The sequence below is a fragment of the Homo sapiens genome, chromosome X (assembly GCF_000001405.40).
Source record: "Homo sapiens chromosome X, GRCh38.p14 Primary Assembly".
NCBI lineage: Eukaryota > Metazoa > Chordata > Mammalia > Primates > Hominidae > Homo > Homo sapiens.
In genome coordinates this window covers 72687206-72712394 of record NC_000023.11, presented here as the reverse complement: position 1 = coordinate 72712394, position 25189 = coordinate 72687206, and the positions used below count along the sequence as shown (strand labels likewise).

At 37.6% G+C, this 25189-nt stretch overlaps 1 protein-coding gene and 1 long non-coding RNA gene across 9 annotated transcripts in view; one reads left to right on the top strand and one right to left on the bottom strand.

Annotated features, from left to right (window-relative positions):
* PHKA1 (phosphorylase kinase regulatory subunit alpha 1) overlaps positions 1-25189 on the top strand; it is a 135493-nt gene that overhangs the window by 1912 nt on the left and 108392 nt on the right. For all 8 annotated transcript variants that reach the window (NM_001440788.1, NM_001440787.1, XM_047442160.1 and 5 more), the window contains 2 exons: positions 7150-7197; positions 16519-16687. In NM_001440788.1, coding sequence (NP_001427717.1) covers positions 7150-7197; positions 16519-16687 — 217 coding nt within the window. The remainder of the gene's footprint in view (positions 1-7149; positions 7198-16518; positions 16688-25189) is intronic.
* Positions 47-23446, bottom strand: PHKA1-AS1 (PHKA1 antisense RNA 1). Its single transcript, NR_110391.1, has 5 exons — positions 23393-23446; positions 15197-15236; positions 4479-4546; positions 2920-2964; positions 47-438 (listed from the first exon to the last, which is right to left on the bottom strand). It is a non-coding gene; the product is annotated as a PHKA1 antisense RNA 1 (long non-coding RNA).

Here is a 25189-nt window from a genome sequence, read left to right as displayed (position 1 = left end):
TTGTGGTGTTTGTATGAGGGTAAATGACATGAATCAGCAAACCTTCTGGACTAGACACAGTAAAGACTTTATCTGTTGATTTTTATAGCTGTGGCCACTGTTTCAGAGCCTGTTGCTTCCTCCCTCCCCCAACTCCTGGGCAAAATGAGGTCAGAGTCAGCAGATGCCTTTAAGCCAACTTTTAAGGCACTTCCCCTCAGTAAACCAGCATCCTTTATAGAACTGTTGAGACGCAAAGGTAGCTGCATCCTCTTCAACGACCAAGAAAATAATATTAAGAAAACAATATTCTGGGCTATGGTGGGAGTTGAAGTACTCTGTTGTCAGTTATAAGATGCATGTGCATTCATTTCCATTAGTGGGAAAAATTCTCTCTATACCAGCCATTTTCTCCAGTGGTCTCTCCAAGACTTAGGCAATCTGAGCTCCAGTCTTCATCTATAAATCAGAATATTGATATTTGGTTATTTTACGAGTATCAATATAATGTGGGGTTGCACTGTGTTGTCCTTAGCAACAGCAGGCATTTGTTGTTCTTTCAAGCCATTATTGAGAGATACATAGGTCCACCAAAAAAAAAAAAATTATTCAAGTTTTTGCTCCACACCAGGTAGTACAGATCATTATTTTTATGACTTTTTTTGTTGTTGTTGAGACGGAGTCTCACTCTGTCCCCAGGCTGGAGTGCAGTGGCACGATCTCAGCTCACTGCAACCTCCACCTCCTGTGTTCAAGCGATTCTCCTGCCTCAGCCTCCCGAGTAGCTGGGACTACATGCGCGTGCCACCACGCCTGGCTAATTTTTTGTATTTTTAGTAGAGACGGGGTTTCACCATGTTAGCCAGGATGGTCTCAATCTCCTGACCTTGTGATCTGCCCGCCTCGGCCTCCCAAAGCGCTAGGATTACAGGCGTGAGCCACCGCGCCCAGCCTTTTATGACTTTTATAAAAATACCATTGTAGAAATTTGGAAAATATAGAAGAGTGTTTAAAAAAATTCACCTGTAATCCTGCCCACTCCCCTCCCCCAAATCCTACATCCTACTCAACGTTTTCTAGTTTGAGCTCAGTGTTTTGTTTGTTGCTATTTTTACTAGAAATTAATATCAGTAGAATTGGAATTTCATATCTGGTACAATTTGACCAATTTTTTCAATTCTATTAGAAGAAATCTGTTATCTCCCTGTAATGTTAACACTTTTTCTTATTTGGCCCAGTTATAAAGAATTTAACAGGCCGGGCGCGGTGGCTCACGCCTGTAATCCCAGCACTTTGGGAGGCCGAGGCGGGCGGATCACGAGGTCAGGAGATCGAGACCATCCTGGCTAACACGGTGAAACCCCGTCTCTACTAAAAATACAAAAAATTAGCCGGGCGTGGTAGCGGGCGCCTGTAGTCCCAGCTACTCGGGAGGCTGAGGCAGGAGAATGGCGTGAACCCGGGAGGCGGAGCTTGCAGTGAGCCGAGATCGCGCCACTGCACTCCAGCCTGGGCGACAGAGCGAGACTCCGTCTCAAAAAAAATAAAAAATAAAAATAAAAATAAAAAAAAAAATAAAAAAATAAAAAATAAAAAATAAAGAATTTAACAGAGGAAGGGGGAATAGTAGGGAAACATTGAATTGCCCATTCTAAAATTTTAATATTCCATTAAATAATTTTTCACATAGCCAAAAAATACCTTTCATACCACCTTAATAGTAATTAGGAATGTTTCAAAACATTATAGCAATGGGAAACATCTTTCAAAAAGAAAAGATTTTGTGGGAATTTTTAAATTTATATGAACTTTCCTTATTAATTGCAACAGGTTTTTATTATTAGGTCTCAATTTTTTTCTCAAACCTGATTCAGTGTTAATCAAGGACCAGAAAATCATATCTTTTTTTGTCATTAGGGTTGTAGGTCACATGTGGTCTCTATCTAACTACTCAGCTCTGTGATTGTGGTGCAAATGCAGCCAGAGACAATGCAGTCATCCCTCAGTATATGTGCAGGATGGATTCCAGTACAGGCTGCTTATAACCAAATCTCTGCATACTCAAATTCTGCAGTCAGCTCTGTGGAACCCATCTATAAGAAAAGTCAGCCTTCCATATACATGGGTTTCTCACCCCTGAATCCTGTATTTTTGATCCGTGTTTGGTTGGAAAAAAGCCACATATAAGTGGACCTGCACAGTTCAAACTTATGTTGTTCAGGGGTCCCCTGTATATAAAGAATGAGTATAGTTATGTTTGAATAAAACTTAATTCATAAAAATAGCAATGGGCTAGATTTGTCCCTGATCTAGATGAGTGGTTCCAAACTCTGACTGTACTTTGAGAAGCTTTTTTTTTTTTTTTTTTTTTTTGAAGACTAAGTCTTGCTCTATTGCCCAGGTTGGAGTGCGGCGGTGCGATCTCGGCTCACTGCGATCTCCATCTCCCAGGTTCAAGCGATTCTCCTGCCTCAGCCTCACAGTAGCTGGGATCACAGGCGTGCACCACCACACCCGGCTAATTTTTTTGTATTTTTAGTAGAGATGGGGTTTCACCATGTTGACCAGGTTGGTCTGGAACTCCTGATCTCAAATGATTCACCCACCTCAGCCTCCCAAAGTGCTGGGATTACAGGTGTGAGCCACCATACCCGGCCAGGAATCTTTTAAGAAATACCCTTAGTACACCACAGCTTAGAACAATTTAAATATGAATCTCTGGAAGTGGAGCTCAGTAGCATCAATATTTTTAAAAAACTACCCGGGTGATTTTAATGTATAGCCAGTGTGAAGAATGACTAGTTATGGCAAAATATGAACATAGATTAAATCCAATAAATTCATAGATTAAATTCCCACCTACTGCAACTTTCTATTACTGTGTGGATTTTCCCAAAACATTGATTGTTAATTATTTCTACCCTTCCTTCCAATTCTTACCTTGGTTTCTTTCTGAGAAATAATGTCAGAGAATTGAAGAGAATTCTGGAAGAAAAGAGGACAAGGGTTTAGGCAACTACTGCATCCTAGATTGAGAGTAGAATTATGCACATGTATGTTTTTACAAATGTCTTTCTCTAAGGTATATAGATACAGTCTCATACCCATAGAAATATAGGCACACAAATAGGGATATCTCTTTGCATTCATGGTACCATCAAATTTCAGCTTCATCTCTGGGCCTCACTCCAGTTCTTTGTGCTAAGTTTTGTTCTTTTTGTGTGGTCATTCATTTTTTCTCATGACTTTAACTATTACCTTTATGAGAATGACTTCTGAGTCTTCATCTCTGACCTCACTTCAATTTTAAACCTAGGTTTTCATTTGTCACCTCATCAGTTTCATCTGCATATACTGTGGCTCCTCAAACTCAATGTGTCTGAAACCCCACCTTTCCAACTAAAAACAAACTACAAAACAATGGAAACTCATCAACAATCTCTTTTTCTGTTATTACTGTCTCCATTCTACCAACCACCCAGGCAATATTACTTGGAGTATTTCCCATAGTATGTTCTGTGGAATACTAGGCCAACTAAGTTTGGGACTATGTTAAAGAGCATGTGTCTTTACTCCATAATTTCTCAGAGCCTTTGATGTACTAATGTGCATATTTTGTCTAAGATGGGAGTGAATTTTATAGCCTTTCCAGAATCTCTTAGACTAGCACTCTATAAAACAGTGCTTGAAGTGTGCTACTTAACCTTAGAATGATTTTTGACTTCTCCCTCTTACCTTTTGATGCATGCACACCAGTCTGTTGATTCATATAATTTCTCTTGAATCTATCCCCTCTTTTCTCTTCCCTTCTGCCTCAACCTTAGTCTAAGCCCTTATTTCCTAACACTTCTGTGAAAACCACATTTAAATTATGTTATTTCCATCCTCGACAATCTTTCTGTGGCCCTCATTTCTCCACAAGTAAAGTCGAAACATTTTGGATTGATAGACAAGGCCCTCTATGGGTTGGTCCCAGCTTATTTTTTTCAATATTATATCACGCTGGTGCCCTCCATTATACCCCCAGTTCCAGCCAGGCTGATGTCTTTATTACTCCTCTAATCCCTTAATAAAAATACCTAACATTTGTATAAATACTTTCCATTGTACAACACACTTCCCCATAATTACCAGTATTTTATTCTCACAATACCCTGTGAATCAAGTATTATCCTCAATTTCCAAGTGAAGGGACTGAGGCCCAGAGATGAAGCTGGAATTTGATGGTACCATGAATGCAACCTGGGTCTTATGACTTCGGAATCAGTATTGTTTGAATTTTTGCCTCCGTGGGAGCCATAGACATTGCCACCTGCAAAAATTTTTATGGGCTTCTTCTTCTACCTGCCTATTCCCTTTCAATCTAAACTAATATCCTTTGAAAGCCTAGCACCAATCCCACTTTTTCTGTGGTCCCTGTCCTTCCTCACAGACCACTCACTTGTACAGTGATCACTTCTTTCTCAGGACTCCTTTCTTGGAACTTCTAGATCACTTACCATCTGTGCCATTCAACATCTTCATTTTTTTAAATTTAAAAGACTGTGTAATCATCATGTGCCAGGCCCTATAATAGATGTTAAAAAGAAAATGGTACAAAATGTTTATATGTAACCCTCAACTTTTTTTTATGGAAAATTTCAAACTTACAGGAAAGTTGCAAGAATAGTAAAATAAACATATTTGCATATACTCTATCTAAATTCGCTAGTTGTTAACACTTTGTCATATTTGCGTACCCACCCCTCCACACACACACACACACACACACACACACACACACACGATTTTTTGATAAGCCTTTTGAGAGTTACTTGCAGACATGAGTTTGTTTTTTAATTCAACTTCCTTCGTCCATTGACTTGAAGGTCTTTTTCTGAACCTGGCCTCTGCCCCTTTTTCTCAGGGAGTTCATTGTCTGATGGGGGAGACAGATATATAAGCAAGTAGTTACAGTACATTAAGATAGGTACTATAGGTACTGATTTATATATTTGAGATAACTACTAAGCTCTGTGGGAACACACAGAGGTGGGAATGTCTAAACTTCTTTGGGACGAGGCAAGGAAGACTTCAGAGAGGAGTTGGGTTTTAAAGGATAATTAGGAAATGCTGGGTAGACTATGCTGTAGTTAGTTTTTAAAACATATCTGTCCCATTTCCCTTTTCTTTATGTTCTACAAAACCTGATAGAGGTTCAATAAATATCTGATTGCACATATACCTGGGGGTAGAGAGAAAGAGGTACACAGATATGGTTGTGTAGTTATATATTCTTATAAAGTCAGTTCACAGATATATATTGATTTATGTCGTCAAAAAGAATAGGCAAGAGGGAGAGTCACTTGGTATGGGGTAGAAGCCCTGATGTATGAATGTACATGTATAATTAATGCCATCTAGCACACCTGGATCAGAAAACAGTTAGTTTGGGGAACACAGAGTACAGATACCTCCCATCATTCCTACCTCCCGATACTTCCTACTAATTTTATCTTGCCTTGGAAATTAGAACTTGAGGATAGAAATGGCTGACAATGGCCACTAATTGAGATCCTCCACTGAGTCCTTGATTCCCCAGATTTGCTGTTTAAAGAAAATTTAGATGGGAGTAGTGGGGCTAGAGGGTAAAGGGAGTTGATGGGTTTGCAAGAGAAAAGATGACTAAGGCAGTAAAATAGTGAAGAAGCCAATGACATGAGCCCAGGATTCTTACAGAATAGTATAAATGCTGAGTTCTATATTGGTCGACTAGAGGCCCTTAATATGTTTTTTTAAAATGAGTTCCTTTAGGCCATTGATATAAAGACAAGACTATTCAAGCCCCTCCCTCTGCTTCCCATTCTAATTCATTGACTTTTAGAAAAGACAGAATATGGTAGAAACCTTTGAGTATGTGGTGACATGTATCAGAATTGAATAAAGTTTCCCCACAGAAGAGGTTGTGTTAAATACTTTCCATAACAGGTATATTAAAGAGATGGACTCTTTCATTAGCATCAAAGTCATATAGATGTCTTCTTGTAGGGGTTACAGTAAGTTTCCTTGCTTTATAATAAATGTTTCAGGCTTTAAAATGTGACAAGATCATGCACTGCCTATTCTTTCTCTCTTTTTAAAATTTCTTCTTTTGATCTGTAAGGGGAGGGGACCATTTATAGACAGAAATGACTTAAGAAAGGGGACTCTCCCACAGAAACCATTTTTATTCTTATTTTTCCCTCAATAAAAGGCTTCATAAAGAGTTGGAACTTAATAGGTACTTATCCTTATCATGACTATTGCTTGTAGTCCCATTTGAATATGTTTTGAAGAAATAACAGAATCATGTGGCTTCCAAGTAGATTAGTTTTCAGAGGTGTCCTGAAGTTACCTCTGAGCCAGCATACCCTGGAGTAACCTGGTTGGATTTCTTTTGGACTGTGAAACAGAAAGCTTTTTGGAGAAATAGAGAAACTGTTCAGTGCTATGTTCTTCCAAAACACATTTCTACCCATGCCACGATTGATGGGCCCTTTAGTGTCATGTAGTATATAGTTGGTGATCAGAATTTTGAGATGTTATGATTGGAAAACAAACTACTTTAAATTATCAAGCCCCAGTAAGAGAAATAGTGATGACTTGAAACTTAAGAATTTGTGACTTTCTTTCAAGGAAAACGGGTTGAGTCAAATGAACAGATCCCCTTTATACTTATTCTTTATTAAAATTCACTTTATTCTTTAGAGGACATGTCCAGATAAATATTTCTGTGGACTCTTGAAGATAAGTCTTGGCTAGCTTAGAAAAAATGAAAGCAATGTTGTAGTGAAGTCTTTCTAGGCCATAGGATGTATTTTAGAATATCCTCAGAGCCTTAGGATTTTTGAGCTGACTTGCCCCTTTCTCCAGGTGGAATGTCCTCTAATAGGATGGTTGGCTTATTTTTACATAAACCAGTTGAAGCTTGGATGATTTTTTTGACTTGAAGGAATCATAAAGTGTAGCTTTTGATTCCACTTTTAGCTGTAATCTGCTCTTCTGTGTACCAATAAAGTAAATGTCATGTAAATAGGAACACAGGATAGGGTTACTTGTTCTCAAAAGGTCATGTACCATCTGCAGTTGCTGAGTAAGTGTTCCTGTATCTAGGGATGTTTATAACTGTCTTGTTTCCATTTATTTCTGCAGAGTGTAGTGAAGCTGATGAGAGGACTACTGCACTGCATGATCAGACAGGTATGGTATTGATAACACCTTCCTCTCTAATAAAAGCACATTGTAATAGTATCTCTACCCTTTAGGGAATGTTTATAGCTTATATTTTCTTTCAGTTTCACAAATAGTACACACTAATTTTAGAAAATTTTGAAAATTGGAGAGGGATAATGTCACCCATAATCTCACAATGTAATTACCACTGGAATGTTTCTTTCCAGTCTTTTTTGACCCTCTACAAATGATTTTCAATGTGTTTCATCATTACTGTACATGCAATTGTGTATGTAGGGTGAAAAGATGATACAGGTTTAAAAACCCTCATTTGACCAGGCACTGGTGGCTCATGCCTGTAATCCCGGCATTCTGGGAGGCCAAGGCGGATGGATTGCTTGAGTCCATAAGTTCGAGACCAGCCTGGGCAACATGGCGAAGCGTTGTCTCTACAAAAAATATAAAAATTAGCCGCGCATGGTTGTGTGTTCCTGTAGTCCCAGCTACTTGGGGTTAGCGGGGGTGAAGTGGGAGGATCACTTGAGCCTGGGAGGTCAAGGCTGCAGTGAGCCAAGATGGTGCCACTGCACTCCAGCCTGAAACCCAGTCTCAAAAACAAGTAAACAAAATGCACACACACACACACACATGCACATACACAAAACCCTCATTTGAAACCCTTGGGGCCATCAACTTTAGAATTTAAAGTTTTTCAGATTTTAAAAAGGCAGTACAGTGCATACTCCTGCCAACCTTTAATTATATGGTGTATGGTATATATACACCATATATTACCTTATGCCTTCTGCGGGTCTAGAACAGCACTCTATAATCAGAAACATTAATATCTCTGTAGGGAAACATGCAATTTCATACTAAGTAGAATAAATAAAGACTTAATTTGAATCTGGTGTTGCCAACAAATGAATTTTAATGCAAAATTTAGGGGAAAAGCCTTTTCAAAGTGTTTCAGATTTTAAGATTGGAGATAAGAAACCTTGAATTTGCATCTCCTTGCAGTAATTTGCATTTTCCTGACCTCCAGTGAAGTTGAGCATCCTTTTATGTGTAGATTGAAAATTTGCATTTCCTCATGGATGAATTGTCTGCTAAGTCCTTTGCCTATCATCTAGGTTCTCTTTCCTGCCTGTTGAAAAGTTATTGTACATTATAGACATTAGTCCTTTGTCATATGCATTGCGAATTTTTTAGCAGTCTATCATTTATTTTTGAGGCTTGTTTGTGATATTTTTGCATACAAGAGTGTTTTTACTTTAAAAAATTGTTTTATCCTAGGAGATCTTAAAGCATTTTGCCCACACTCAATCTTACCTGTCTTTTCTGAAGATCAAGATTGTGTTTTATTAGAAGAAGAAATTGAGGCCCGGATTGCTAAAGTGACTGCCTACAGGCACAGAAGTCTATAGTAGAAGGAAATATATAGTAGATAGAAAGTAGTACATAGAAATATATGATAGATAGAAAGTCTTTGCTACTTTATTTTGTATTTTAGATATTTGCACTTTCGTTTTTTTCTTTTTAGATAGGGGTCTCACTTTGTCGCTCAGGCTGGAGTGCAGTGATATGATCATAGCTCACTCACTGCAGCCTTGGCCTCTGGGCTCAAGTGATCCCCCCACCTCAGCCTCCCGCATCACTGGGACTACAGGTGTGCACCACCATGCCTTGCTAATTAAAAATTTTTTTTTGTAGGGATGGAATCTCACTATGTTGCCCAGGCTGGTCTCAAACTCCTGGGCTCAAGCGATCCTCCCACCTTGGCCTCCTAAAATGCCAGGATTATAGGCATGAGCCACCTTGCCTGGCCAATATTTGAACTTTTTACCTTACCAAATAGGTTTAAGGTCACTAATTTCAGGAACCAAATTTAAGGTATAACGGTTACTGTCATACATCAGAGGCATTAATTATCAAATTTAAATTTCAGGAACTAAGTCTTTCAGTTGTCCTTTGCACAATATTTCCCTTCTGACTTCTAGTTTTAGCTTTCTGTTTTGAACCCAGGAAATCTGAGACAGATCTCAGTTAATTTAGAAAGTTTATTTTGCCAAGGTTGAGGACCCACCCATGACACAGCCTCAGGAGGTCTTGAAGACATGTGCCCAGGGTGATTGGGGCACAACTTAGTTTTATACATTTTAGGGAGACATGAGACATCAATCAATATATGTAAGAAGTATAGTATATTAGTTCCATCCAGAAAGGGTGAGACAACTGAAAGCAAGGCCTCCCTCCACTATGGGCTTCCAGGTCACAGGTAGGTAAGAGACAGATGGTTGCATTCTCTTGAGTTTCTGATAAGTCTTTCCAAAGGAGGCAATCAGAATATGCATCTATCTCTGTGATCAGAGGGATGACTTTGAATAGAATGGGAGGCGGATTTTCCCTGACCAGTTCCCAGCTTGTAGGGGCCCAAGTTATTTTCCTTTCACATCCCCCCACCTTTGTTTTTTCAAATCTTTTGGAGAAAGCATTTTACAAGAAAATGAATCTCTGATCTCAGGTTTCGCCTGATCTCTCATGAGTAGGACAGTTTATTTCTAGATGGGTAGGTCCCAAAAGCTCATTTTTAGCAGGTTGTGAAGTCTCATATCCTGTGAAGAGAAAATGGGGGGAGGTAAGGGAGAAAAAACAATAACAAACAAAAGAACAATCCTGGAAAAATCAGTATAGGCCCTATTACTCTGAAGTCCATACATTATTAGGCAGGTATGAAAGTGGCTTATGAATGTAAATAGGTTACTGTTGTTTTTTGAGATGAAGCCTCTTTCTGTCACCCAGGCTGGAGTGCAGTGGTGTGATCTCGGCTCACTGCAACCTCCGCCTCCCGGGTTCAAGTGATCCTCCTGCCTTAGCCTCCTGAGTAGCTGGGATTACAGATGTGCGCCACCACACTCGGCTAATTTTTGTATGTTTTTAGTAGATATGGGGTTTCACCATGTTGGCCAGGCTGGTCTCAAACTCCTGACCTCAAGTGATCCACCAGCCTCGGCCTCCCAAAGTGCTGGGATTACAGGCATAACCCACCGTGCTGGCCAATTACTGTTATTTTTTTCTGAAGTTTGAGTTGTCTGGCTTCAGTTCCCAGGGTTTTAAGAAAGCACAGCTGAGTTTTCAGGGACTCCAAATTAGGAAAAATGGGGGAAAAAAAGGAAGGAAAAAGTTGAAAACATTATTTTGAAGACTTGTAGCCAAAAAAAATTAGAATTCCATCCAAACTGTAGAAACTAATAAAAATTGAAACAAAAATTAGGCAAGACTAGAATCTAACAATGGGTGTCCTATCGTTTTGAAATATAATTTTTTCTCTCTCCGGTTTCCCCTTTTACTAAAGACAAATCATGGTAGGACTGGTTTGCTTATTATACTTGGCCTAATTATTTGTATACAGTGCAGCAAGAATAATTATTTTTTACATAGGCTTTTAAATGGGCTTTGATGGAATTTTGTTCCATAGGAGGAATCTCAGATAAGATTTTTTTCTTGAGATGGAGTCTTGCTCTGTCACCCAGGCTAGAGTGCAGTGGCACGATCTCAGCTCACTGCAATCTCCACCTCCTGGGTTCAAGTGATTCTCCTGCCTCAGCCTCCCGAGGAGCTGGGGTTACAGGCGCCCACCACTGTGCCCGGCTAATTTTTGTATTTTTAGTAGGGACGGTGTTTCACCATGTTGGCCAGGCTGGTCTCGAACTCCTGACCTCATGATCCACCTGCCTCAGCCTCCCAAAATGCTGTGATTATAGGCGTGAGCCACCACACCCAGCCATTAGTTAAGACTTCTTGAAAGCCGAGCCCAGCCATGAATTTATGCCATCAAATATCTATGAGTTGTTTGAATTTCTCCTCCTCTTGGGGTTCCAAGATAAACCTGAGGCTTCTGTGCCTGTCGGAAAGTGACATTCTTTACTTACCAAGGGTCAGAAACCCTATATGTGGTCTGTGTACATGAAATATGAGGCCAGTTTTTCCAAGGGCTTTATTGGCTTCACAAGTCAAGTTTGATTCTTTAAAGGAAAGCACACCATTCCAGTCAAAGCCTTGGTAAAATTACCAGTTTCTCCAACTGTGTCCCGTTACAAATGAAAACAGATTCTTATTGCACTTACGCAAATAACTGTATTGCCATAAGTTAAGAATACTCACAAATAGTTTCCAAATTCTAGAGAAAATCAGGTAGAGAGAAATAAATATGCTCCAAATCTTTTTTATGGCAGTATACTAAATTGTTAAAAGCTGTCAGTAGCTCAAAAGAAAAGTTTTAAGTATCTGAAAAACAAAACAAAGGATCAGCAAACATTTTAAGCAAAAAGTCCAAAAAATTAGTTCAGTCCATGCAGTTATTTCTTGTTCTGCTTGATATTCATGAACATTTTAGTTCTCCATGAGTCCTGGAAATTTTTCCTCTATTCTGATGTCACAATCTTCAAAAGTTATCAGAAACCTGCATTTAAGAGCACCTATTGGAATTTTATAGCTGATTATAAAACCGTCTTCTAAAAAGGACCAAAACAAGACAACAATTGTCCATGGATGAAAAAAAAGTTTTAAGGCAGCCATAATCAAAAGACATAATTGACAAAGAAATTTGTTACCTCTGTGGCACACAATAATTTTAACATAACAATTAGGAATATTACTGATAATGTACACTAAGTTATATCAGAATTTCAGGAGTTTCTCATAATTTTGGAACACATACCAATAACATATTTATACAAATACAGCCCAAAGAAAACCAAACAACATTTCATATTTGACAGTGCTTCCTGTATAATTTTTATACCAAATAAGCCAAATTATGACATTTTTGGACTTCAGGGAACCTAATGTCTTAAAGGATTAATTAGGTTAGAAAAAGACATAATTTATAATTTGATTTTGGAAAATTTGTCAAATATAAAAGTTTGAAATGCTTGATATTACAAAAGAATATTACAGGTCATTGTTTAACCAAAGTGATAATTCAAGGACTTCAAAAAAAGTGAAAACCTTAATTCTTTGAGAGAAGAGACTTAATTTTCTAAACAAGAAGCCCTAATAAAAACAGCATGAAGCCAATTACATTTGTTTTTCAAAATTTTGTAAACAATCTATAAAGTTTAACCTTGATTATAAAATATAACTTCCATAAGGCTTTTATAACCTTTATTAAGGAGTTGGTGGAGTTGGTTAATGCTTTAAGAAAAACCTGTTAATCTGACACAGGGGTCCATATACTGGTTTTGCATCAGTGTGCCTTTCATACTAATGATTAATTTATAGAGAAACTGAACTTATTTTATCTTTAAAAATTGGCCTTTACAATCTGTGCACTGTCTTCTTCCACGATAGTCCCTGGCTCATGAGGAATCAAATAGCTTTAATTGTTTTTTGCCCTGTATTTCAGGAATGCAGCTTATTTTGATTGGCATCTTCCATGGGGCCTGAAGATGAGGCTTTAATTGCTGTTAGTGTTTAAGATTTAGCAGGACTTGATGTCCTTTTTAGACCCAGGAGTTAAAGCCCTCTAACTCAATGTCACAAGGACTTTAAAAGCCCATATAGGAAGATACATGGATGTAATAACCTTAGTTTAAAAAAATTTTTTTTTGTTAATCTCAGTTTTTTTCCTAAGCAAAACCAAAACTTAATAATAATATTTGGACTTTCTGGTTTGTCCTGAACATCCCTCTTTTTTTTTTTTTTTTTTTTTTTTTGAGATGGAGTCTTGCTCTGTGGCCAGGCTAGAGTGCAGTGGCGCGATCTCGGCTCACTGCAACCTCCACCTCCTGGGTTCAAGCAATTCTCCTGCCTCAGCCTCCTGAGTAGCTGGGACTACAGGCAAGCACGCCACCACACCCAGCTAATTTTTTTTTGTATTTTTAGTAGAGACAGGGTTTCACCATGTTGGCCAGGATGGTCTCAATCTCTTGACCCCCTCCACCTGCCTCGGCCTCCCAGAGTGCTGGTATTACAGGCATGAGCCACTGCGCCTGGCCTCTTTATTCTTATAACTTTCTTTACATCTCCTTTTGTTTCCTGGTTGTTTTTACCTTGTTTTATACATAACCTTTAAATAAGCTTTGAATTAGACAAAACTTGTTCACCTTTTATTTTTTAGCAAGAATGTTTTCCTACAATATATATTTATTGGAAAATACCCAAATAATTAAATATCTATTATTTAATATAACTTTATATCCTAAATTATGACCAGTTTTTCTGCAAGTACTTATCCTATTACATTTACGTAATTATTTTAATTGTTTTACCCTGATTATTTATGAAAACTGTGATAGTCGTGATTTAAAGTTATGAAACTGCCATTGAAAATTATGACTGAGACAGTGAAAAAAGATTTGACCTAACTGACTCCATCTTGCTCTTAGCCCCAAGCCGTCCTTGTTCACTCCTGGGCATAGGCCAAACTAACTTTGGGAGGAATTTAGCTTATAGATTAGCTTTGAAACAAAGAGAATAACAGTCCTTTCCCAAAACAAACCTCCTTATTGTCTGTGCATACTGCCTAAAGCCACAAGATTCGAAGTTACGGTAATATTACTAAATTCAAGATGCAGCTATTTTCATTAAGCCCATATCAATGTCTTATTTATTAAAAATTACACAAGCAAAGAATCGTTCTGTTTTGGGCTGGGCTTATAGTTTGTAACCCCTATGCCAAATTTTGACACCTGATAGTATTTGGCAGGGATAAGTATGAAATTGCTTGATTCATAAATGTAAAACAAAAGAATGTATACTGGCAAATCTTAAGACATTTCTAATGTTACTTTACCAAATAATTTTAAAACTAGCTTATTTATTACAGATTTTACTTAAGTTACATAAACTTCAAAAAGCATTTGACAATTCTTTTTTAGTATCTGATTTAAATGCTTTTATTTTTCTTTAAGCCAATTAATTAGATCTCTTATATATGTTTAGTAGTGAAACAGTGTGTACACAACACATAATTACATATAAGGACACATTAGGCATGCCAATGGATTTATAAAGACCCCCTCTTTTTTTTTTCTTAGATTTTCATATTCTTGATAACCTGTTTCACAACCCTACACAGTTGTCAGCTAAACAGCTTTAAATTTGCACATTGAAGGAAACAGTTCAGGTGAAATCAAATAGCAAAATTTACATCATAATGTACAGAGAGAAAGGTCTGGTGGTGCAGAACTACAGGGAGATGCTTTTACAGTGCACTTAAAAAAAATTTTTTTTTTTTTGAGACAGAGTCTCGCTCTGTCACCCAGGCTGGAGTGCAGTGGCGCAGTCTCGGCTCATTGTAACCTCCACCTCCCAGGTTCACGCCATTCTCCTGCCTCAGCCTCCCGAGTAGCTGGGACTACAGGCACCCGCCACCATGCCCGGCTAAGTTTTTGTATTTTTAGTAGAGACAGGGTTTCACCGTGTTAGCCAGGATGGTCTCGATCTCCTGACCTCGTGATCCACCCGCCTCCGTCTCCCAAAGTGCTGGTATTACAGGCGTGAGCCACCGCACCCGGCCAAAATTTTTTTAAACAAAGACATTTCTGAGTGTCTTCCTTAAAAACCCAAGTGTAGCCTCTGTTGCGATAACTATTTTAGTCAAAAAATCAGGTGAAAACAGAATTCAGTCAACTGAGAAGAAAAAAAAAAAAACTTTTGCTCAAAAAAAAGACAAGGTCTTAGGAGACCTTGTTTTTTTTTCTCAAAGAAAATCAACCTCAAAACATGAAGGCCTTTTAAATACAAACATGCCCACATGCACACATATACACACACATCTTGGATGTTAACCTTTTAATTAAGCCGACTTTTAACCATTGAGCTCTTTTAAAAAAAATCTTTTAAAATCTTATTACTGTATTTCAGCTAGGACAAAATGCTGCTAAACTAACAATCATCACACAAATTCTATGATTTCTGAGCACTCTAAGTGTAAGCAGAATTTAACACCAGCTGGTTGTTAATGCTAACTTCAGTCATTTAAAAAGAATTTTCAAGACAGAATCCCAAACCAGTTTCTTACATAATGATGGGTCTCAGGCTGTAGACTGCTCTCTACGGTCCTAGAAACAGGAAAAACAAAAACAAAACTCATCTTCCCCGTTAGAAGCGTGTTCAAACTCCATAAAGGAGTTACCTGCCTTCCATCGACATGGAGGCAGGAAAACTTGCTTTCCTTGTGTTGGAAGCAAGTAAAACTCCAAAAAAAGAGGAGTTGTAACAGCAAAATAAGCTTTAGATCTCAACCAAATTTTGAGAGATCAGGGATTCTGTTGAGGGGGTGCTCTCAGGCCTCAGCAAATTGTCCTGTTGGTTTGAGCCATCAAGTTAGCTCATGCTGGTACCAAGCACCAACAGGAGATTTGTCAAAGGTCAGGGGCATCTCCACTCAGAATCCACCCCACCTTGAGGTTACCAAAATGTGAACCCTGAAAATCTGAGACAGGTCTCAGTTAATTTAGCAAGTTTATTTTGCCAAAGTTGAAGATGCGCCCATGACACAGCTTCAGGAGGTCCTGAGGACCTGTGCCCAAAATAGTTGGGGCACAGCTTGGTTTTATACATTTTTGAGAGACATGAGACATCAATCAATATATGTAAGAAGTACATTAGTTCAGAAAAGCTGAGACAACTCAAAGCAACGCCCCACAACTGGGGGCTTCCAGGTCACAGGTTGGTGAGAGACAGATGGTTGCATTCTCTTGAGTTTTTGGTAAGTCTTTCCAAAGGAGGCAATCAGAATATGCATCTGTCTCTGTGAGCAGAGGGATGACTTTGAATAGAATGGGAGGCAGATTTTCCCTGAGCAATTCTTAGCTTGAAGGGGCCCAAGATATTTTCCTTTCAGACTGTCATACCTTTACTCCCTCACTCTATGTGTCTCTCAGCAGCTCTTTTCATTACTCCTTCAAAATATATCCTCTTATTCTAATTTACTTCGAAATTTCTACCTCAGTTTCAGGAACAAATGTATCTTTTCACATTCAGTTACCTCTTACTAAGCTGTTCTCACTCAAGCACTCTGAATCTCAGTTTATCTACAATGTGCAGTGTGGCAAAGCAACCATATGAAGAGTAAACAAGAGGCAATGAATAGGAAAGAGCTGTTTTTGACTATTTGGTATTATTTTCTGATTAAATCACCTAAATTGAAAAACAACAATAACAGACTTTCCAGTTATATTAGTGCAGGGAAAAACAGGTAACGAGTATTTTAAATATTCACAATTGCCTGAAGATAGTGTATCTTCACATTGCAATAATGTATGTTAGAGTATTACAGAAGTGTGGCATATGGGTTGATTTTTCAGTATATCCTTCTTTTAATGTTTTTGTTCTTTTCAGGTGGATAAAGTAGAATCCTTCAAATATAGTCAGAGTACTAAGGATAGCCTCCATGCAAAGTACAACACCAAAACCTGTGCCACTGTAGTGGGTGATGATCAATGGGGACACCTGCAGTTGGATGCTACCTCTGTGTACCTGCTCTTCTTAGCCCAAATGACTGCCTCAGGTCAGTACAAGGAGAGAAGTGCTGGGAGCCCCTGAGCATGGAGTCTGGGGTACTAATTAATATTCTTTTAAATTGAGAACCGGGAAGGCTGGGGTAGATCTTCATGAAACAGGTATTTTTTATTATTTATTAATTCTCAGATATCATGAGATGGCAAAGAAGGGCTAGGTTTCATTGCTTGTTCTCATTACAGTACATTGACAAGCCTGCCAGTTAGTATAAATACAAACTCAATCACCTACTTTATGCTACTCTTTATGAATATATTATAAACAAGGCATCTGTCTATAGGCATCTAAATTATATTAAGAAAATTAACTTAGGAATCAGAATCCAAATTTTTTAATTATTGAATACTATATCCTTTTCAGATGGTTCTCAATTTATTAATTTTGGATGCTTTACCTGAGAAAGGGAAATGTAAGAAACAACTTAATTTCCTTTTATTTTTCCTAAATTGGGGGAGGGCAATGTATCCGATTATACCTAGTTTATAAAAGTAATGGGACCTTTGCCAGAGCTTCCTAAACTAATGTACTTCTCAAAATACCATATTTTTGACATTTTAATTTCTTCATCTTCCAACCCGGTTATTGAGATCCTTGGTACTAAGGGCATCCAGGGTGGGAATTCCCTCAAAATACTCTTCTTCTCCTTTTTTAATAGAAATAAATATTTGATGATAAACCTTTCCTTTATTTCCTCTAAAACACACAGCTCAGAAGCTGAATAGCCTTTTCTTAAAAGTATGAACTGGCTACCCAGATATGTCCTCCTGTTGTAGGGGAGGTTTCTTCCTGAATAAATGTATTTTTAGGTTTAATTTATTTAAATAGAATGACAACTATAACTCTATTTCTAATAATACTTTAATACCAATTCTGGAGTTATGTCTACAAAGCAACAATGTCTGAATATCTCTTGTAGTTTTTCATTTTGAGTCCAGAATGCAAGCAGAAATGTATCAAAGAGGCTTATAGGAGACATAGCCATTCATTCAACAAATGTTTATTGATTCCTGACTTAACATTTGATTTTCAGCTCAATCAGCAGAGTTTGATAGGTACTTGGAATAAGGTAGATATTATTTGATCAGGCCTTTGAGGAATAAGTAGAAATTTACAAATCAGAGAAGGGAAGGGAATAGCATGAATATAACATGGAAATTTGAAAGGTACTGCCCATCAAGGTAAGGCTGGATATCTTCTATGGTTAGAGTATAACATGCATCTGGAAAAATGACAAACTGTGAAACTAGAAGGTTGGGACTAGCTATTCGAGGGCCTGTGTACCATGCCATATAGTTTGCAGTTTAGGCCATCATCAGTAGCGAGTCATTCAAGGTAAATAATCAAGGAAGTTTCAGATGATTCACTTCAGTAGCAGGAAGATAGATTGGATAGGAAAGAAGGTTAAGATGGCAGACTAGTTAGGAAGTTAGTGAAATACTTTAAGGCAAGATTGATTCAGAATTTATGTAAGGCAGTTACCTTGAGAATGAAAGGGCATATGTGAGATTTAAGTGGTAGTATGCAAGATCTTCACAGAGTATTTAGCAATGCTCTACACATTTTTGAATACACAAATCTCCACCTTGGTTAAAAGAGAGGCTTAGACAGAACTTGACTGCAACTTACAGAATGGGGGCAGGAGGGGCTCCATGGAACCTCCCCCAGCAAAACAACCATAAATGTTGAAAATTATTTTTTAAAAACCAGCCACTACATTATTGGAAATTGTCTGAAGGACATACAGCAGGTAGAGAAACATTTACTCCAGGAAATCTACCAAGTATTGGTAAAAGCAGTGAGGGAGTGTGGCATTTGAGTCTAAATCTACTCCCCCCTCCACCCCACCTCAGCATGGCAGAAGCAATATTCAAGGCGGGTACAACCAAGAGCACAATCTCCCCAGCTAGTTCCCAGTTTAGGGACACTGTATCTCTCTGAGGGAGGTAAGGAGATACATCCTCTCCAGCTCCATGTTGCAAAAGCTAGTTCAGGCAAGAATAGCTGACAGGCCTGGAGTTCCCCTCCTCCCCAGGAAAAGGCAGGGTGAGAATGCTAGGCCCTGATTAACCTTGGCCCACTTCACTATTAGGGTGGAGGTTCCCCACTGGGAGGGGCAAACTAAGAAGATCAAAGGCTACCATCCCTTCCCAGCACTCAATTTGTAAAGCAGGGGTGTCACTCCAAAAGAAGTGGGCCACTGTTCTCACCACTAGCTCTGGAGCACTGGCACGGAAATTTTGCTGGGGAGAGAGGCAGGCTGTAAGGACACAAAGCTCTGTAGCTTTTCCCAAAGGAATTGACTTTATTTAACAGAGTGTGGAAAAGTTAAAGCCTAAAGGCAATCTCAAAAAACAATGGAGATTTGGGTTCTAAGCAATTAAGAGGAGGCTAGTAGCTCAATAAGAGCAAGAAGCTAAACCATATACTAGCTCAATGGCACATGGAACATTTTTCAGGATAGATTATATGGTATACCATAAAACTAGCCTCAATAAATTTGAAAGATTTCAAAATCACACAAAGTATGTTCTATGACCAAAATGGAATGAAATTAGGAACAGAAAGAAACCTAGGAATCTCACAAATATATGGAAATTAAGCAATACACACCTAAATGACCAATGAGTCAAATTGAGAAAATACTTTGAGCTAAATGAAAAAGAAAATACAACATACCAAAACTTATAGGAAGCAGAGAAAACAGTGCTTAGAGGGAAGTTTATACCTGTAAACACCAATGTAAAAAAAAAAAAAAGAAAGAAAAATCAGTAACCTAACCTCCCACCTTAAGGCACTGGAAAAAGACAAGCAAACTAAACCCAAAGCAAAGAGAAAGGATGAAGTAATAAACATTACAGCAGAAATTAATGAAACAGAAAATGGAAAAAACAATAGAGAAAATCAACAAAACCAAAAGTTCATTCTTTAAAAAGATCAACAAAATTGATAAATCTTTAGCTACATTGACCAAGAGAAAAAGAGAGGATACTCAAATTACTAAAACTAGGAATAAAAGAGGGGACATCACTACAACCTTACAAAAATATAAAGAACTAAAGGGGAATACTATGGACAACTGGTTACCAAAAATTAGATAATTTTGATGAAATGGGAAAATTTCTTGAAAGATAAACTACTGAATCTGACTCAAGAAGCAAAGGAAATCTGAGTAGACTTACTACAATCGAAGAGAATTAGTAATATAAAATCTTTCCACAGAGAAGTAAGCCCGGGTGCAGATAGCTTTACTGATAAATCTACCAAATAAAGAAGAGTGAACACCAATTATTTACAAACACTTCCAAAAATAGAAGAGGTGACACTTGCAACCTCATTCTGTGAAGCCATTACTCTGATGCTAAAACCAGACAAAGATATCACAACAAAGTACAATTATAGATCAATATCTCTTATTAATATAGACATAAAAATAAACAAAATACTAGGTAACTGAATCCAGCAATATATTAACAAGTTTATATACCTTGACCAAACCATATATATTCCAGGAATGCAAGGTTGTTTTATTATCTGAAAATTAATGCAATACATCATGTCAGTGGAATAAAGGACAAAGATATATTATTGTCTCAGTAGACACAGAAAAACATTTGACAAATTCAACACCTTATCATGATAAATACTTACCAAATAAGGAATAGAGGAGAATTTTTTCAACCTGATAAATGGCATCTTTGAAAATCCACAGCTAACATGACATTTGATGGTGAAAGAATGAATGCTTTTCCCCATAGATCAGAATAAGACAAGGACATCAACTCTTGCCACCAGTATCTAAAATTGTACTGGCAGTTTAGCAAGGGCAAATAGCCAATAAAAAGAAATAAAAGGCATCAAATAAATGAAGGAGTATAATTATCTCCATTTGCAGATGATACGTTCTTACATAGAGAAATCCTAAGGAATTCATTAAAACTCTAGAATAAACAAAGTTCAGCAAGGTAACAACGTACAAGATAAAAATGCAAAAATGAGTTATGTTTCTAAACAGTAGCAGTGAATAACCAAAATGAAATTTAAAAATAATTTCTATTACAATAGGATCAAAAATGAAATAATGAGGAATAAATTTAACAGAAGAAATATAAAATTTGTACTTTGAAAGATATGAAACATTGTTGAAAGAAAGTAAATATCTAAATAAATGGAAAGACATCTATATTCAAGGATCAGAAGATTTATTGTTAATGTGGCAACATTTCCCAAATTAATCTACAGATTTAACATCAACTGACTTTGCAGAAATTGACAGGCTGTTTCTAAAATTTATATGGAAATTTAAAGGACCCAGAAGAGCTAAAACAATCTTAAAAAAGAAGAAAGTTGAAGGACTCAAATTTCCTAATTTCAAAACTTACTACAAAGCTATATTAATTAAAACAGTACAGGTACTGGCATAACTATAGACATGTAGCTCTTTGGAATAGAATTGAGAGGTTAGAAATAAGCCATCACTTTATGCTCAGTTGATTTTTGACAAAGGTGCCAAGATAATTCAATGGGGAAAGAATAGTCTCTTCAACAAATGGTGCTGGGACAACTGTATGTCCACATGCAAAAGAATGAAATTGGACTTCTTCCTCACACCATATATAAAAATTAACTCAAGGCTGGGCGCGGTGGCCCATGCCTGTAATCCCAGCACTTTGGGAGGCTGAGGTGGCAGGATCACTTAAAGTCAGGAGTTTGAGACCAGCCTGGCCAACATGGCAAAACCCCGTCTCTACTAAGAATACAAAAATTAGCCAGGCGTGGTGGTGTGTTCCTGTAATCCCAACTACTCAGGAGGCTGAGGCAGGAGAATCGCTTGAACCCGGGAGGCGGAGGTTGCAGTGAGCCAAGATCACGCCATTGCACTCCAGCCTGGGCAACAGAATGAGACTCCATCTCAAACAAACAAACAAAAAAAGAAATTAAATTTAAAAAATTAACTCAAAATAAATTGTAGGCCTAAATGTAAGAAGGAAAACTAAAACACTATATTAGTCTGCCACAACAGAATACCACAGAATAGGTGGCTTAAACAACAGAAATTTATTTTCTCACAGTTCTGGAGGCTGGAAGTCCAAGAGCAAGGCTGGTAGGGTTGGTTTCTGGTGAGGCCTCATCTTGCCTTTCAGATGGCTACCCTTTCTGTGTTTTTACATGGCCTTTTCTCTATGTGTGTGCACTCCTGGTGTGTCTTCCTCTTCTTATAAGGACGGCAGCCCTATTGGGTTAGGGCCACCCTCATGACCTCATTTATCTTCTTAATTATCTCCTTGAAGTCCCTATCTCCAAATATAGTCATATTAGGGGTTAGGGCTTCAATATACAAATTTTTGGGGGGAGGACACAATTCAATACATAACAAACACTTAGAGAAAAATACAGGAGTAAATGTTTCTGGCCTTGGGTTAAGAAAAAGCCTCTTAGATATGGCACGAAAAGCATAAGCTACTGAAGAAAAAATAGATAAACTGGAATGTATCAAAATTAAGAACTTTTGTGCTTCAAAGGACCCCATCAAGAAACTAAAAAAGCAACCAATAGTATAGAAGAAAATATTCACAAGTCATATATCTGATAAGGTACCTGTATCTAAAAGAACTCGCAGAACTTAATATAAAAGATAAATAACCTAATTAAAAATGGTCAAAGAATCAGAATTGACATTCCTCCAAAAAGATGTTCAGATAACCAATAAGTACATGAAAGGATAGTGAACATCATTAATTTTGAAAGAAATATAGGTCCAAACCACAATGAGATACCACTTCACACCCATCAGGATGACTGTAATCAAAAAGACAGATAATAAGTGTTGCTGAGGATGTGGAGAAATTGGAACCCTCATACACTGCTGGTGGAAATGTAAAATGGTGCGGCTGCCTTGGAAAAGAGTCTGGTAGTTCCTTAAAAGGCTTAAAAAAGAGATACCATATGATCTAGCAGTTTCACTCCTAAGTATATATATACCCAAGAGAAATGAAAACATATGTTCACTCAAAAGCTTATACATTAATGTTTATAGCAGCATTACTTATGATAGCCATAAATGAAAATAACCCAAATGTTTATCAACTGATAATTGGATAAATAAAATATGATACATCTGCACAATGGAATTTTTAAATTTTTTTTCATGTTACTGCTACCTCTCAAGATGGAATATTTTGGGCAATAAAAAATGAATTACAGGTACATGCCACAACACTGACAAACCTTGAAAATATTATGCTAAGTGAAAGAACCCAGACATAAAAGGCCACATATTGTATGATTCCATTTATATGAATGTCAACTAAGGCAAATCATAGAGACAAGAAGTAGATTAGTGATTACTTAGGCTGGGGGGCAACTGTAGAAGGGAAGTGGGGAGTGACTGCTAAGGGGCACAAGGTTTCTTTTGGAGTGATGACAGTGTTCTAAAATTGATTGTGGTGATGGTCGCATAACTGTGCATACACTAAAAACCGTTGAATATATACTTCTTATGCATGCTTTTTACATATCTCAATAAGGTTGTTTCTAAAAATGAGAGAAAGAGGCTTAATGTTATACAGATGAGTGCAGAATATAAGTGCAATAGACCACTGATTTAGCTCCATTTCTGGAGCCCTGTATGCCTTAGTATTCTTTATATAGTCACCTTTGGTCTAATCCAGCCCTATCTCATTTTATGTGTACTCACCTCTGCATTCTTTGTTCGACAAGCAGTGTCTGGGCTCTACAGGAGGCACAGGATCCAGAGGTCCTCCATTTATGACCTTTCCTCAAGAGGCTGATCCCTTTCCTGTGGTTAACAGAGGTGTTTAAAATCACTTAATAAATTTTCAAACATCTACTGTTCAATGCTATTTAATACCGTTCAGAATACTACGTGAGATACTTTTAGTGGCTATGTGAGATAATTTTAGAAGATGCAGATATAAATAAGATGTAGTTCTTTCCTTAAAATTCAAGTACACATTTGTCTATAATACAGAGTAAAAAAATAAGTTCATAAAAGTAAGAAAAACAAAATTCTGTGAATCACAAAATAGGAGAATCAATGATAGCATCACAGAGGACATAGCATTTGAGCTGAGCCTTGAAAGAACAGTAGGATTTCAAGATCTGGAGAGAAGAAGGCCATTTAAATGGAGAATATAACAAGCAAAAGGACATAAATGGTAGAAATGTCTGGCATTTGTATGATATAGCTGTGATGCAAGTCTAACAGATGAATAATACCAGTTTCATACTTTTGCCTTCTCTGTCTCTGCTCAATCGCATTGTCACACAAAGATGACAAGATAAAGCTATGAAGCTGATGTCCCATGTCACTATCATCTCTTCTCTTTACCGGCGTCTTTCCAAGAAGTTAGTGTCATTACGATTGCAAGAAAAAACACACTTTGCCACTTTGCTTCTGCAGCTTCCCTGTGCTATGGATGCTATTTTGACAGAGCCATGGATCAGGAGGAGTTTGCAATCTGATAATACCAATCATATAGTTCTTTTTAATTATAAAGTTACACAGTTCCATGATTTAAAATATATGTTAATAGATCAAAGATTTAGATGTGGCCAGGCGCAGTGGCTCAAACCTGTAATCCCAGCACTTTGGGAGGCTTAGGCGGGCGGATCACAAGGTCAGGAGTTCAAGACCAGCCTGGCCAACATGGTGAAACCCCTTCTTTACTAAACATACAAAAAAATTAGCCGGGCATGGTGGTGGGTGCCTGTAATCCCAGCTACTCAGGAGGCTGAGACAGGAGAATCACATGAACCTAGGAGGCAGAGGTTGCAGTAAGCCAGGATCATGCCACAGCACTCCAGCCTGGGCAACAGAGCGAGACTCTGTCTCAAAAAAAAAAAAAAAGTTTCTGATAATAAAAAAATACTATAAACAAGTCCAAATTCCAACAAACTAGCAAAAATACTTGCAACACATATGATGTGCAACGGACTAATTTCCTTAATATTTGTTAAAATATCAATAATAGAGAAAGAAGTTTTTTTTAAAGTTTAATGCTGAGCAAATACACACACACAAACACACACACACAGTATGTTTGTGTGAACCACAGAAAAGGGGAAGCAATGACAGCATCACAGAGGAGATAGCATTTGAGCTGGAACTTGAAAGAACAGTGAGATTTCAAGATATGGGAAGGAAGGGAAGGCCATATGAATGGAGATTATGAGCAAAAGGACATAAGTGGTAGAAATATGTGGCATTTGTATGGTATGGCTGTGATACAAATCTAAGAGATGAATAAGGCCAGTTTCATACTTCTGCCTTCTCTCAGCCTCTGATTTCTATTGAATTGCCAGTCTTTCTGGCAATATATACTTACAATGCATACTTTTTATGTATCTCAATAAAGTTTTTAAAAATGACAGAGAATGAGGCTTAATATTATACAGATGGTGCATGTATATATATGTATATACCAAGACCATACATATGCCATTTTATATATATATACTAAGACCATACATA